Genomic DNA, 12,767 nt, shown 5'->3' on the forward strand with positions numbered 1-12,767 from the left:
ACTGGGTTGTGGATTTTACTTCCTTCACTGAAGTTTGTCAGAGGCTTGAGGGTAACAGTTTCCATCACAATCACTGGGGGGATTTTTGTAACTACCGATGTGTAGGCTCTGTCCCAAGAGATTCATAGTTTACTGGTCTGGAAGAGGCCTGGGAATCGGAAGTGTTTCCAAAGCTTCTTGGGTGATTCTAATGTGTAGCCAGGGTTGAGAACTGAAGTTTTAAGGAAGATAAGCATGGAACTAGGTACAGCTGAGTCATTTCTGCTGGATGTCCTCTTGCCCAGGGGTGGTGTGAAAGCCACAGGAGAACAGCCTTCTGCCCACTGCAGTCACCCATGGGGAATGCCCTATTGGGATTAGCGTGGCTCAGGTACCTCCATGTTATATGAAGCTCAGGAAAACATCCACCAGCCACTTTAATAGTCTCCAGCCTCTGTCATTTCAGACCCTCATTAGCTTAGGTTTCATCTACTTTGCAAAATATCATTCCATTGATTTTAGTGTTTTAGGTTATCATTTATGGCAAAATTAGAATTTCATTGTTATTCAGCCCCCATTTGTGGTTTTTGCTTATACCACAGGAGATACGTCCTAAGTATTAGAACTTTCCTAAGCATTTTAGTATTTTTACATTTAATTTACATTTTACATTTAACCAGCTTTGACCTGCATCACAAATCATTGAGATTTTGCATTTAAGAATTTTATATTTTTTCTTCCTATATCAGATTGGACGTAATAGTAGAGCTAGGGTTGGTGGAAACTGTAATCTTACAGCATGTTTGGTAGAATCCTAGTCTTGTGAGAAGTTCCTTGAAAAGAGAGTTTTCTAACTCCTTAGTACTCAACGTGTGGGGATGTATGAGCCAGAACATTGGCATCTCCTGGGAGCTTGGTAGAAACACAAAATCTCTGGTCCCACTGAAGACCTATTGAATCTGGATCTGCATTTAACTAGACTCCCAGGTAATTCTTATGTTTGTGTAGAAAGGGTTTAAGAAGCATTGAATGTTGAGAAACAACTGCAAATTGTGTTCCTTTTCCTGCAGTTGCATTATACACATTAGCATATGAAAGGTTCTGTTAAGTACAATGGTAAAGAAAATGGTTTATCCCAGATATTCCCAAAGGTATTTGACCATAGGGCAACAATTTTTTTAGGGTAGCACTTTTAAAAAGCCTTTTATTGGAGCGTGACATATATCAGAATAGTGCATATATTGTTGGGTAACCATTCTCCATGGGTCTCTCACCTTTCTGCACGCCTTGTAACCAGAGGCTCTGACTCCATTTGTTCTGAACTCTCTTCTCAAGGATGTTTGTATAGTGAACAGCCTTGGAAGACAGAGATAGGGTTTCCCTCCAGAACAAAAATCAGTCCAGTATAATAAAGCCATTCCAACACAATAGTGGTTCTCTCCAGGACAAAGGTCAGGCAGGCTTATTGCCTCTTTAGAAATATTTGGATTCCCTTCACTTTGTGTTCTTAAACTATGGCATAAACCCACTGCATGTGCAGTATTCAACTGGGCTCCTCTACATTGCCCCCATGGGACTTAGAGGGCAAGAGAAACTGATACAAATATGAAGCTCATGTTGTATGCTGTTCTCTGAATAAGAAAGTCCTTTTTCTCTGACCCAGGAGTCTCATGTCTTCTGTCAACATCCATGAAACTAGGGCAGGCTAACTTGTCAGATTACAAGTAGGGTCAAATCTGAGAACCTTCACAGTTCTTGATAATTATATAGGATTGATTTGATGGATCTTTGCAAACTGCATGTAACTGTGTAACAGGTTATCAGTTCAAGAAAGATAAAATTGCTAGTGCCCAGAAGGCCTCTTCACGACCCTTTCCAGTCACTACTCTCCCCAACTCATGTGGACTAACAATGACCTCCTATGTATGTAATGAGCTGTTTTCTAAACTGAGATCACTGAAGCTGACATTGATCAGTACCTAGTATGAGTCAGTCAACCCTCCGAATGACTTTATGTGTAGTAAATATTTTAATTCTCACAGCAACCGTCTGAGGTAGGAATTATTATACTCATCTTGCAGGTGATAAATTGAAGCACAGGAGAAACTAAGTGACTCGCCACAGGTCACAAAGCTAGAATTTGAACCCAGGTAATTTGACCTCAGAGCTTTTTTTTTTTTTTTTTTTTTGAGACGGAGTTTTGCTTTTGTCGCCCAGGCTCCAGGTTGGAGTGGAGTGGTGAGATTTTGGCTCCCTGCAACCTCCGCCTCCCAGGTTCAAGCGATTCTCCTGCCTCAGCCTCCCGAGTAGCTGGGACTACAGGCACCTGCCACCATGCCTGGCTAACTTATTTTTGTATTTTTAGTAGAGACAGGGTTTCACCATGTTGGCCAGGCTGGTCTCAAACTCCTGAGCTCAAGTGATCTGCCTGCCTCGGCCTCCCAAAATGCTGCAATTACAGGCATGAGTCACCATGCCCGGCCTTCCTCAGAGCTAACTTTAATTCTGTCACCACACTGGGCCCCATGCTCTGACACTGGCACAGAATATTTGCAACAGGCATAATCTCAGGAAGTCTGAGCATGAGTGGTTTTACAAACACAGGCAGGCCTCAAATAGAAATATGCTGTGTTCCAAGAATTTGTTTATAAACCAATCATTTTTCTTATGTCATAGAAAAGGTACTGGATACATCATCTGACAAATCTAGACTCCCATCCTGACTTGCATTTAGTAGCTGTGTGTCCTTGGACAAGACTTAACCTCTTTGGGCTTCAGTTTCCTCATTTGTAAAATAACAGAGGTGGACCAGAGGAGCATGCAAGCTTCTTCTGACTTTAAAGTTCTGTACTTTTATATCCAATATATATTCTCCACAGAATTAGCACTATCGATTCCAAGACTAGCACCAGAATATTTTTTTTGAGTAAAATGGTGCTGGAAATTTGAAAAAATACTCATACAAATATTTCCGTGGACTGGAACCTGATTTTATCACCTGTGACTTGGGCAAGTCATTTAATAGATGTGAAGCTCTTTTCACCCCGGCAAAACGAAAATAAATAATATTTGTTCTGTGGGGAATCATGAAACTTCAAACAAGTTATCTATCTATCTATGTATCATCTATCTATCTTTATGTTTTATAAGGTGATATGTATTATACACACAGGTATGTTATTTGTTTTTTATAACCTCATTCATCCATTTATCTATCCATCCATCCATCCATCTATTCATTCATTCATAAAGCATTTATTGAATGCCTGCCCACTTCTTGTCAGGTACTATGTGAATAGTGGAGGTATAACATTAGAATACAGTGTGATAGAGGGTCTGAGAAGGGCAAGTACAGGGTGCTCAAAATGGGTACCTAATCTAGTTGGGTGTGTTTTCTGTGGCAGAGAAGGGGAGGAGAAAGCAGGGAAAATTCCCCAAGGAGTTAATATAAAAGTTGAGACTTGCGGGACAATGTTGACCAGGCTGGTGGGAGTGGGGATAGAGCGTGGGAGGGAACACAGGACACAACATGGGCCAAGGCTGAGAGGTATAAGGAAGCGGAATTATTTGTAGTCAGTGTGGTCAATGCATTTGGACTTCTCAGAGCCACATTTCACACAGCAAGTGTAGGGGTAGTGTAGACGGCTCCAATTATGGGATGGTGCAAACAGCTGTAGTTTGCAAACTTTCAACCTATGCTTAGAAAAGGATCCTTTCTTAAGCAGGATCCTTTCTTCTTCCTCCAAATTGGGGGAATTGGGGGAGAGATCCCTGGAGCAAGTCCTGGCTTCTTTTGAATCCCTCTGAGAATTACTTTTTCGTCAGAGGTTACATATATAGTTATCAGCCCAGGATGCCCTAAACTCCACATTGGCCTGTGGCTTCATTCCTCACCTTGCACCTCTCTCCCCACTTTCCTTCTTCCAGCCAAGAGGGCATGGAGGCTGGAGATGGAGGCTGGAGACTGAGGCCGTGTTTGGGGGTATACTTTCCTCTTCAAGGCTGGCTGACTTTAATCCGACTGCTCCTGGGTTAAGATTCTGGGAGGTGCTTCTCTTTCTTCCCTTTCCCTCCCTCTCCTCTCAGCCTCCCACTGCCCCGTCCTGATCCTGCCCTGGGCCCAACCTGTTCTAGGAGTCTCAAAGACATGCCCTGTTTCTCCAGAGCTCATGCAGAGGCTGCTGAGGCCAGAAATCTCTCAGATTCCTTTTGCTCCAGCCTCTGGTTTTTTAACGAGCAATTGCCTGGGAGGAACTCTGAGGGAGGCTTTCTGCTGAAGAAGGGAAGTGCTTTCAGTTTCGGCGTTTTCATCTGGAGTTCAGCAGGGCCTCCCGCAGCCTTTCCAACCAGACCAGGCACATGCAGAGTGGGGAGATGGCGTCACCCAGAACACCTCTAATTTTCCTTATCCAAATGATTTCTGTGACTCAGAAATCGTTGGCTGATGCAAAGCCAGGGAGCTGGGAGCTCCTTTCAAACTGGTGGAAAGACTTTCGATGCATGGGAATTGGCTTTCCTGGGCACCAAGTCTCTGGGGCCCCAGTTTGTTTTCACAGCTGCCTTCTGGTGGAGGGGAGAATGTATTAATATCATGATTACTTGCTCCCTGCCAGCAAGCACTGCCTGGCAGGTTGTAGGCCCCTGAATGTTTTGGTAGAGAAGGGAAAATGCGGTCAAAGAAGCTCAGGGCCTGGGTGCTGTCATTATCCTCTTTCAGGATTTAGGTCAGTATACCACGATGCATTTAATGCATCTGTTTTTTTTTTTTTTTTTTAATTGAGACAGAGTCTTGCTCTGTCACCCAGGCTGGAGTGCAGTGGCGCAATCTCGGCTCACCACAATCTCCGTCTCCTGGGTTCAAACAATTCTCTGCCTCAGCCTCCCAGGTAGCTGGGATTACAGGTGCCCACCACCGGCTAATTTTTTTTTTTTTTTTTAAGTTGAGACGGGGTTTCACCATCTTGGCCAGACTTGTCTTGAACTCCTGACCTTGTGATCCACCCGCCTCAGCCTCCCAAAGTGCTGGGATTATAGGCATCAGCCACCGCACCTGGCCCACATCTATATTTTCAAGCAAAAATGATTTCCCCTTTCAGTTGGAGAATTTTCATTCTTAATAGTTACTGCCTATCTTTCTCAAAAATTCCTGTGTCAATTTTGGAAAACATTAATTTTTTGGATAATGGGGACAGCCTTACATTTAACAGTTGCTTGGCCTTTAATCACCAATGGAAGGGGGAGAAATTATAGAATTTTAAAAAATGGTTGTGTTGGAAGAAGATCTTTTAAGCAGTCAAAGCAGGTGGTAGCATGTGGCAAAGGGGTGGCACTGATGGGAGAAGCATTTATTTATTTACTTATTTTTGCCATTTTACAATGAATTTACTAATTTGGGTTAGTAGGTGACTCATAAAATAGCCCTGTATGTGTTGTATAAAATAGAAGTGAGATAATGTCCCTTTTCTACTTAAAAGCCTGCAATGATGATAGTAGCCCTATTCACAATAGCTAAAAGTGGAAACAACCCAAATGACCTTTAAATGGTGAATGAATAAACAAATTATGGCATATGCATACAACAGAATATTGCTCAGCCATAAAAAGAAATAAGGTACAAATGCATCTCCAAAATATGATGCTAAGTGAAACTAGTCAGTCGCAAAAGTCACATATTATATGATTCCATTTATATGAAGTGTCCAGAAGAGGGAAATCCATAGAGACAGAAAGCAAACTGTGGTTGGCAGGGGCCACGGGGAGGGGATGATGGGGAATGACTGCCAATGGGTATGGGAATATCCCTTTGAGGTGATGAAAATGTTCTAGAACTAAATAGAGGTGTCGGTTGCACAACGCTATGAATACACTAAAAATGCCACTGAATTGTTCACTTTAAAATGGTTAATTTTATGATGTGTGAATTTCACCTCAGTAAAAAATAATAATTAAGTAAGATCTGCAATGGTTCCCTATTTCTCCAAGAGTAGAAGCCAAATCCTTACAGAGGCCTCCTATAGGAGATGGCCCTGTTACCTTCTGGCCTCGTCCTCTCCTCTTCCCACGACTGTCTCACTGAGCACCATGGCCTCCATCAGTTCCTCCTAATGCTAGGCATGCTCCCACTCCCAAACCCCCTTTGCACTGGCTGTCCTGTCTGCCTGGAAGACACTTCTCTCCAGTGCCCACATGACTCTTTTAGTCTTTGCTTACATGTCAGTGTCCAAGGAGGCCTGTCCTCACCACTCTTATTTCCAATCACACCCGTCCCCAAGTATCATTCCCTTTATTCTGCTCTGCTTGACTTATTTCCTTCTAACAAACTATGTCTTTTTACTTATTTATTCTGTTTATTCTCTTTCTCCTTCTCCTTCCTCTAACCATTGGAATGTAGCTCCACCACCAAAAAAAGAATTTTAATATGTTTCTGTATTCTAGGCTTAATTTGTATTGATTTTTTAAAAATGTCTACAAAATCAAATAACAAAGAATTACACATTCAAACAGATTCAATTAAGTGGATTCTGAAAGAAATATCTGTAGAAAATGAAGTCTCAAATCTCATAGTAAAGCATCTTCATAGCTTTTTATTCTCTGCTAATGTTTATATTTCATGGAGGCATAAAATCATTCAGGCTGAAGTTAAAACATCTTTCTTTTATCACAAGTAGCTTGAGTTTTGAACCCGGAGGAGGCACTCTGGGTTGAAAGTTATTCATTATAGAAAATGGTTGAACTATAAAATGTCTTCTACTGGGAGAAGGTCGGCTTATTTGGGTTGCTACAGCTTTATTGAGGGTGGGGCAGGGAAGAATATAAAAATTTCTTTCTGCTGTTGCATTTGTTTATCAAATTTGTGCAAGGCCTTGTTGATCATGGGAAGCATAAAGAACACAGATACTATATTCACGTTTAAAGTAAGACAACGGAATCTATCACAAGGGTAGTGAAAGTCTAAAAAAAAAAGGGGGAACAGAGAGAAAAGAAAGGGCAAGTATTTAGAAATAGATAGCAGCCTGAAATATTTTTGTACACGCACAGGAAGTTGCTTTCAGAAAGCCAGGCCACAAGACTCTTGCACACAAACCTTGCACAAGGAGCTCTAGGATTAGAAAATAGCATCATGAGCTGAAAGTGATTACATTTTGCAGATGGGTGTCTCTATTAATTTGGATCTATACTGTGGCTAGAGATCCTGCTGTCTGACGCAAAAGCAAAGGATGTAAAAGCCAAAAAAAAAAAAAAAAATGCTGTAACCCTTCTCTTAATATTGGCATTAAAGCTGAAAATATGCCTCTGTTTATCCAAAGCATAAGGAAGTTGTATATCATAGTAGCAGAATGTATCAGGTATCTAAGATTGAGTGCAGAATTCCGATAAGAGAGCTCTTGAGCACAGAGTTTCAGCTTTGGGCAAGGAAGAATTTCCCTGTGTCATTTTGTTTAGGGAAATGTTTCCCGAATAATACACATTTCATTTTTCTGGCATGGACTTGGACTCATGTGGATTCCATTTGAGGAAAGAAAAGCTCAAGAAGCAGAGGGGTGGTGGGATTTTTTTGTGACTGCTGCAATTTCAGAGAATGCAAAACTAGTGTGACCCACTAATGGTGACTGTTGTGCTGTAGAATGTTCTGTTCATAGCCACAGGGGAAACCACTGCGATTCTGAGGCAGAACTGGCTAGTTCAGGAGCCAGCAAAGACACTAGAGTTAAAACCCACGTGCCTACCTTTGTCTTGTAACAAATAGCAAAATTTTGCCTGATGTTGGAAGAAATATTCCTTTTCTTAATCTGGTGTAAAGCAAGTACATGTGAATGTTTCCCTTGATTAACTTAAGCTCCCTCAAATGACAGGTGCATTTGTGTTTTTGCGAAGAGTTGGAAGGTGGATTGGTGGTGAGGTGAGACAGGCATCATCATCGTTTAGGATTTTTCACGTGTCCTTGGGGCATAAACCAAGCTAAAGATATCCAAAAAAGCCAATTCCTCTTAGAGCTCTCACAGTGTAGCGTGAAACCTGCCTAGGAGACTCCAGTGGTTCTGAATCGGAAGGCAAATTGGCAGGGGGTACATTTTTGGTTATCAGGATTGGAGGCGGGAAAGGGGCAGTGAAAAGGCTGCTCTTGTCATGGAGTGGGTAGATGCCAGGGCGGCTGCTAACCATGCCACCATGCACAGGACAACTCCCCTAATACAGAATTGTCCAACCAAAAGTGTCACTAGTGCCGAGGCTGAGAAATCCTCATCCTAACACATGCCCTAAACAATAAATCCATTTTAAACATTCCCCAGTTGGTGAAATTAACCAGAACGATAGTCTGATAAAACAAAAAACAAGTAACCCAGTAAGTAATATTTCCTCCTTCCTCTTTCCCATTTCACAGAAAATCGTTGAATAAATGCAAGCAGGATATTTTTAAGAGAACAATTCTGTAAGCAATCTCCTTAAATATGTTTCACTTCAATTTCTGCCATTATCTAGAGGCTATATGCCCAGTACAATTATTGAAATCACTGTAACAGTAAAAATTTATAGCCGTATTAGTGTATTTTGGCTAAGTTGAAATGGCAGATGAGGGTAAAACACAAAAATCCTTTAAAAAAAGATAGCTTATTTGATTGCTGCACCAGTTTAAGAAAAAAGGCTAGAATTTATGTTAAAACTGTCTTTAGGGCCCAGCATGGTGGCTCATGCCTGTAATCCCAGCACTTTGGGAGGCCAAGACGGGTAGATTACTTGAGGTCAGGAGTTCCAGACCAGCCTGGACAACATGGTGAAACCCAGTCTCTACTAAAAATACAAAAAAAATTAGCCAGGCATGGTTGGGGAAAACCTGTAGTCCCAGCTACTTGGGAGGCTGAGGTGGGAGAATCGCTTGAATCCCAGAGGTGGAGGTTGCAGTGGGCCGAGATCATGCCATTGCTCTCCAGCCCAGACAACAGAGTGAGACTGATATGGTTCTGATGAGTGGAGGAACACCAGGGTTCTTGGTCCTCATGCCGGTTTAGATAAAACAACATGGACACACATGGAGTGGTTTTAAGGAGCGGAGAATTTAATAGGCAAGAAAGAAGGGAGAAGAAAGAAGGAAGAAGTTCCTCTGTACAGAGACAGAGGGAGGGGGTCTCCAAATCCAAGAGAGGAGGCCCCATGTGCTGAGGATACCAGCCAGTTTTATGAGGAGGCTGGAGGAGGCAGTGTCTGATTTGCACAGGGCTCAGGGGATTGGTTTGACCAGGCTTGTCATTCATGTAGCCTGCGAAAAAATTGGCCCCCCACCCTAGCTTTTAATATGCAAATGCAGGGCACCATGACGTTCTACACACGTGGGGATATGTGGGGGTGCCCATGTTGCCAGGCACATGTCCGGGGTAAGGGCAAGAGGACAACGGTGGGAATCGCCATGTTGGGTGGACCCAGTTTCTAATGGCCTGCATTTGCATATCAAAGGTTGCCGGCCTGGGTCTAGGAGCCAGAGTTTTTCTGCTAGACAAGAAATGTTTCTGGAGTTGCTTTGAAAAGAAATGAAAACTTTCCAAGGACCCCTTTTCCTCTATCTGCCTAAAATAATTTTTTAATAACTCCTACCACAAGACTTTGTCTCAAAACAAAAACAAAAACAAAAACAAACAAAAAAACCTGGATGCAGTTTAGATCTTTAGATGCAGGACAATAAGTGACTTACATAAAAATTCAAGCCCAAGAAAGCAATGCGTGTTTCAGTACTCCTGAGCTTGTATCTCTTTTAATTTATTGGCCAGAAGAGGAAACAGCTTCAGCTACTCTTCCTAGTTGGGAAACTTAATATGAAAACCTAATATGAAGCCCAAGATCCTTAGAGAATGTTAATACAGAAAGTCCTGCCCATGGCTTGAAAATTTTTGTGCAAATAGCATTAATTGGGGTAATCAGGAGGTTTGGGATTTTAGGACAATTGGTGTCACCACTTATCTGTGTGGCCTTGGCCTTCAGTTTCCTTATCTGCAAAACAAAGCCTATGATTTCCAAAGTCACTTTCAACTAAAGAAACAATGGTTCAAAAATAGTCAAATACAGGCTGACCTTGAGATTTCTACCAAGCCATCAAATGTCTCTAGTAATTTTTACCGATTTGGAAGTAAAGTGATAGCTCATGAAACTGGGAATTTGTTCTTTAACCAGTAGAGAAAATAATATTTATTAGTATCTGCTTTAGAAGGATTGCAAATAGTTAATACCCTCTTTCCTTCATCAGAATAAATGAATCCAGGACCTCTATGATAAAGAATTTATTTTTTCTCCCACATCCAAATCTATTTATTATTCTGTGATATTTGGAGTTGAGTATTTAGATCATTTTAGGTCATTCTATGTCAATTTAGCCTTGCAGAACCCCCTGAGACAATAGTACTTCTATCTTAATATTAGTGCGAATGTTAATTTTTTTTTTTTTTTTTCCTGAGTTGGAGTTTCACTCTTGTTGCCCAGGCTGGAGTGCAATGGCGTGATCTCGTTTCACCGCAACCTCCGCCTCCTGGGTTCAAGCGATTCTCCTGCCTCAGTCTCCCGAGTAGCTGGAATTACAGGCATACACCACCACGTTCGGCCAATTTTGTATTTTTAGTAGAGATGGGGCTTTTCCATGTTGGTCAGGCTGGTCTTGAACTCCCGACCTCAGGTGATCCACCTGCCTCGGCCTCCCAAGAATGTTAATGTTAATTTAGAATTTCCCAAGCAAATCTGTATACAACAGAAATTGCCTGGCAGCATGGCATATCAGCATCTAGTGTACTCTCTCTGAGAGGCTCTTGAAAGCTGAAAACTGGAGAAAACACAGGGCAGGAGCACAGAACATGGGCAAACAGCATCACTACATGTTTTCTCCTTTACAGGAAATCTCTTGCCGGAAGCCGTGCCACAGAGCACACAGGCAGTTTGCAGAGAAGGATGCAACCCACACCATGTCCGAAGCGGGCTCTGGGGAAGGCAAGGTTTGATTGTTTCTCAGGTTGTTTTACTGCCCTGCCCACACCCTCCCACCCAGAGAAGTTATTCCTTCTGCAGCTGTGTGCGATTTTTTCAGAAAGAGTTTTAGTCTTTGTTTTTCCCAAGACTTTGTATTGCCTTTTCTCCTCTTCTTGGGCTTGAGTTTAGATGGGACATAACAGGAAAGGGCAATGAATCCCAAACCCATTTTATTTTTTGGTTCATTTGTTGATTTATTTTTATCTCAGCAATAATTTAGTGAGAAAGAAGGTTAATATGATGACAAAAATATGGGTTTGGAAGACCCTTAGTGAGTTTTAAGAAGACAGGCCACCATAGCAGCTGTAGCTAAATAAGCATTTGCTGTATAAGTCAATTACTAAAAATTGTGTGTTGTCTACTTAGAAATGTTTCTTGGGGTGTTTATTAAGGTGTGTGACTTTGAGAATGAGGAATAGAGGAAATGGAAGACGAGTAAGAGAAACCATCCTCCATTTGAGATATCGTGACCCAGCTCTGTTTCCTTTGCTCTCTGTCTGAAGTTAAAAAAAACAAAAACAAAAACAAAACAAAACAAAACAAAAATTAAAAACCCTCAATGGAGAAATATATAAATATTTACAAAGGCTTCTCTTCTATCTACAATACCTTTGTGCAAGATATATCATCTTAAAATCTTGCAATTTGATTGCAGTTGAAATTAATGGTGCAAGAGGTTTTCTTTTTTGTTTGCTTTTTTCTTCATAACGGAAGTGTAATCTCCTTGCAAAGCTTGTGAGCATGCATCCTAAATTGTGAACTTCATCTGCCATGGAAGGGAAAACCTTGACCCAATACCATTGGGATCTAAAAGTGTGATTCCTAGGATTCTGAGCATACTACACGAGATTTAAGGCCCCTTTCAGACTCTGCATTAATGCTTGTTCAGTAGTGATAAATAACATTGATTGGTATTGAGACCAGATTAATAACAGAAGGCAGCTAAAAGGTATTCCCTCTTAGCCTAATTTCCCAAAGGGCATCACTCAGCTGCATTAGTGGGGCGAGGCTCTTCCTTCTCTAAGTGGTGTCTTTAGAAGCTTGAGGGATTATTGCTCAGGGGAAAATGGCTCAATCTGCGGGATTCTTTTTCTTTTTGAGATGGAGTTTTGCTCTTGTTGCCCAGGCTGGAGTGCAATGGCACAATCTCGGCTCACCACAGCCTTCGCCTCCTGGGTTCAAGAGATTCTCCTGTCTCAGCCTCCTGAGTAGCTGGGATTACAGGTGTGCACCACCACGCCCAGCTAATTTTGTATTTTTAGTAGAGATGGGGTTTCTCCATGTTGGTTAGGCTGGTCTCGAACTCCCGACCTCAGGTGATCCACCCGCCTCAGCCTCCCAAAGTGCTGAGAGGGATTCTTAAGAGCAGCTGAGAAAGGGCCCTGCACTTCAGCTGGCTCCAGTTTGTCATCCTTTGTCTGGTATCTTCAGACAAGACATTGCAATAAGAAAAAATAAATACAGTGTGAGAAATCAAATGGTTTTTGTCAAAGTGTAAAAGGGACTGCATCTGACTAACACTGGAGTTGGACAGAAGCCATAAAGGATGTTTTGTGTGAATGTTTCCGGCTGCAAAATCTACCTGACTGTTGCACTGAAACCACAACTATCTATCACATGCTTGTGAGAAACCCCCAGGAGCTTCCTGTTTCGTGTGGGTCGTGAGAAGATTGCACAGCACAGTACAGCTTTCATTGTCTTTGAGCTAATCTTAAGCTAGGAGAAGGAAGGAGAATTCACATTTTGTATGTTTAGTTATTTGTGAAGTCTTTACACCCATAAAT

General features: G+C 41.9%; 1 long non-coding RNA gene across 1 annotated transcript in view, besides 2 other annotated features; it reads left to right on the forward strand.

Moving 5' to 3' along the window:
* LOC105373133 (uncharacterized) overlaps positions 1–12,767 on the forward strand; it is a 51,063-nt gene that overhangs the window by 30,122 nt on the left and 8,174 nt on the right. Inside the window, exon 3 of the long non-coding RNA NR_171577.1 lies at positions 10,851–10,944. This is a non-coding gene — a long non-coding RNA (uncharacterized LOC105373133). The remainder of the gene's footprint in view (positions 1–10,850; positions 10,945–12,767) is intronic.
* Positions 6,921–7,090: an enhancer, noted in NCBI's record as "active region_29431". NCBI's record gives its function as "activates an Ori minimal core promoter by ATAC-STARR-seq in GM12878 lymphoblastoid cells {active_cell/tissue: GM12878}" and the evidence as "EXISTENCE:reporter gene assay evidence [ECO:0000049][PMID:35858748]".
* Positions 12,501–12,720: an enhancer, noted in NCBI's record as "active region_29432". NCBI's record gives its function as "activates an Ori minimal core promoter by ATAC-STARR-seq in GM12878 lymphoblastoid cells {active_cell/tissue: GM12878}" and the evidence as "EXISTENCE:reporter gene assay evidence [ECO:0000049][PMID:35858748]".

The sequence above is a fragment of the Homo sapiens genome, chromosome X, assembly GCF_000001405.40.
Source record: "Homo sapiens chromosome X, GRCh38.p14 Primary Assembly".
Classification (NCBI taxonomy): Eukaryota; Metazoa; Chordata; class Mammalia; order Primates; family Hominidae; genus Homo; species Homo sapiens.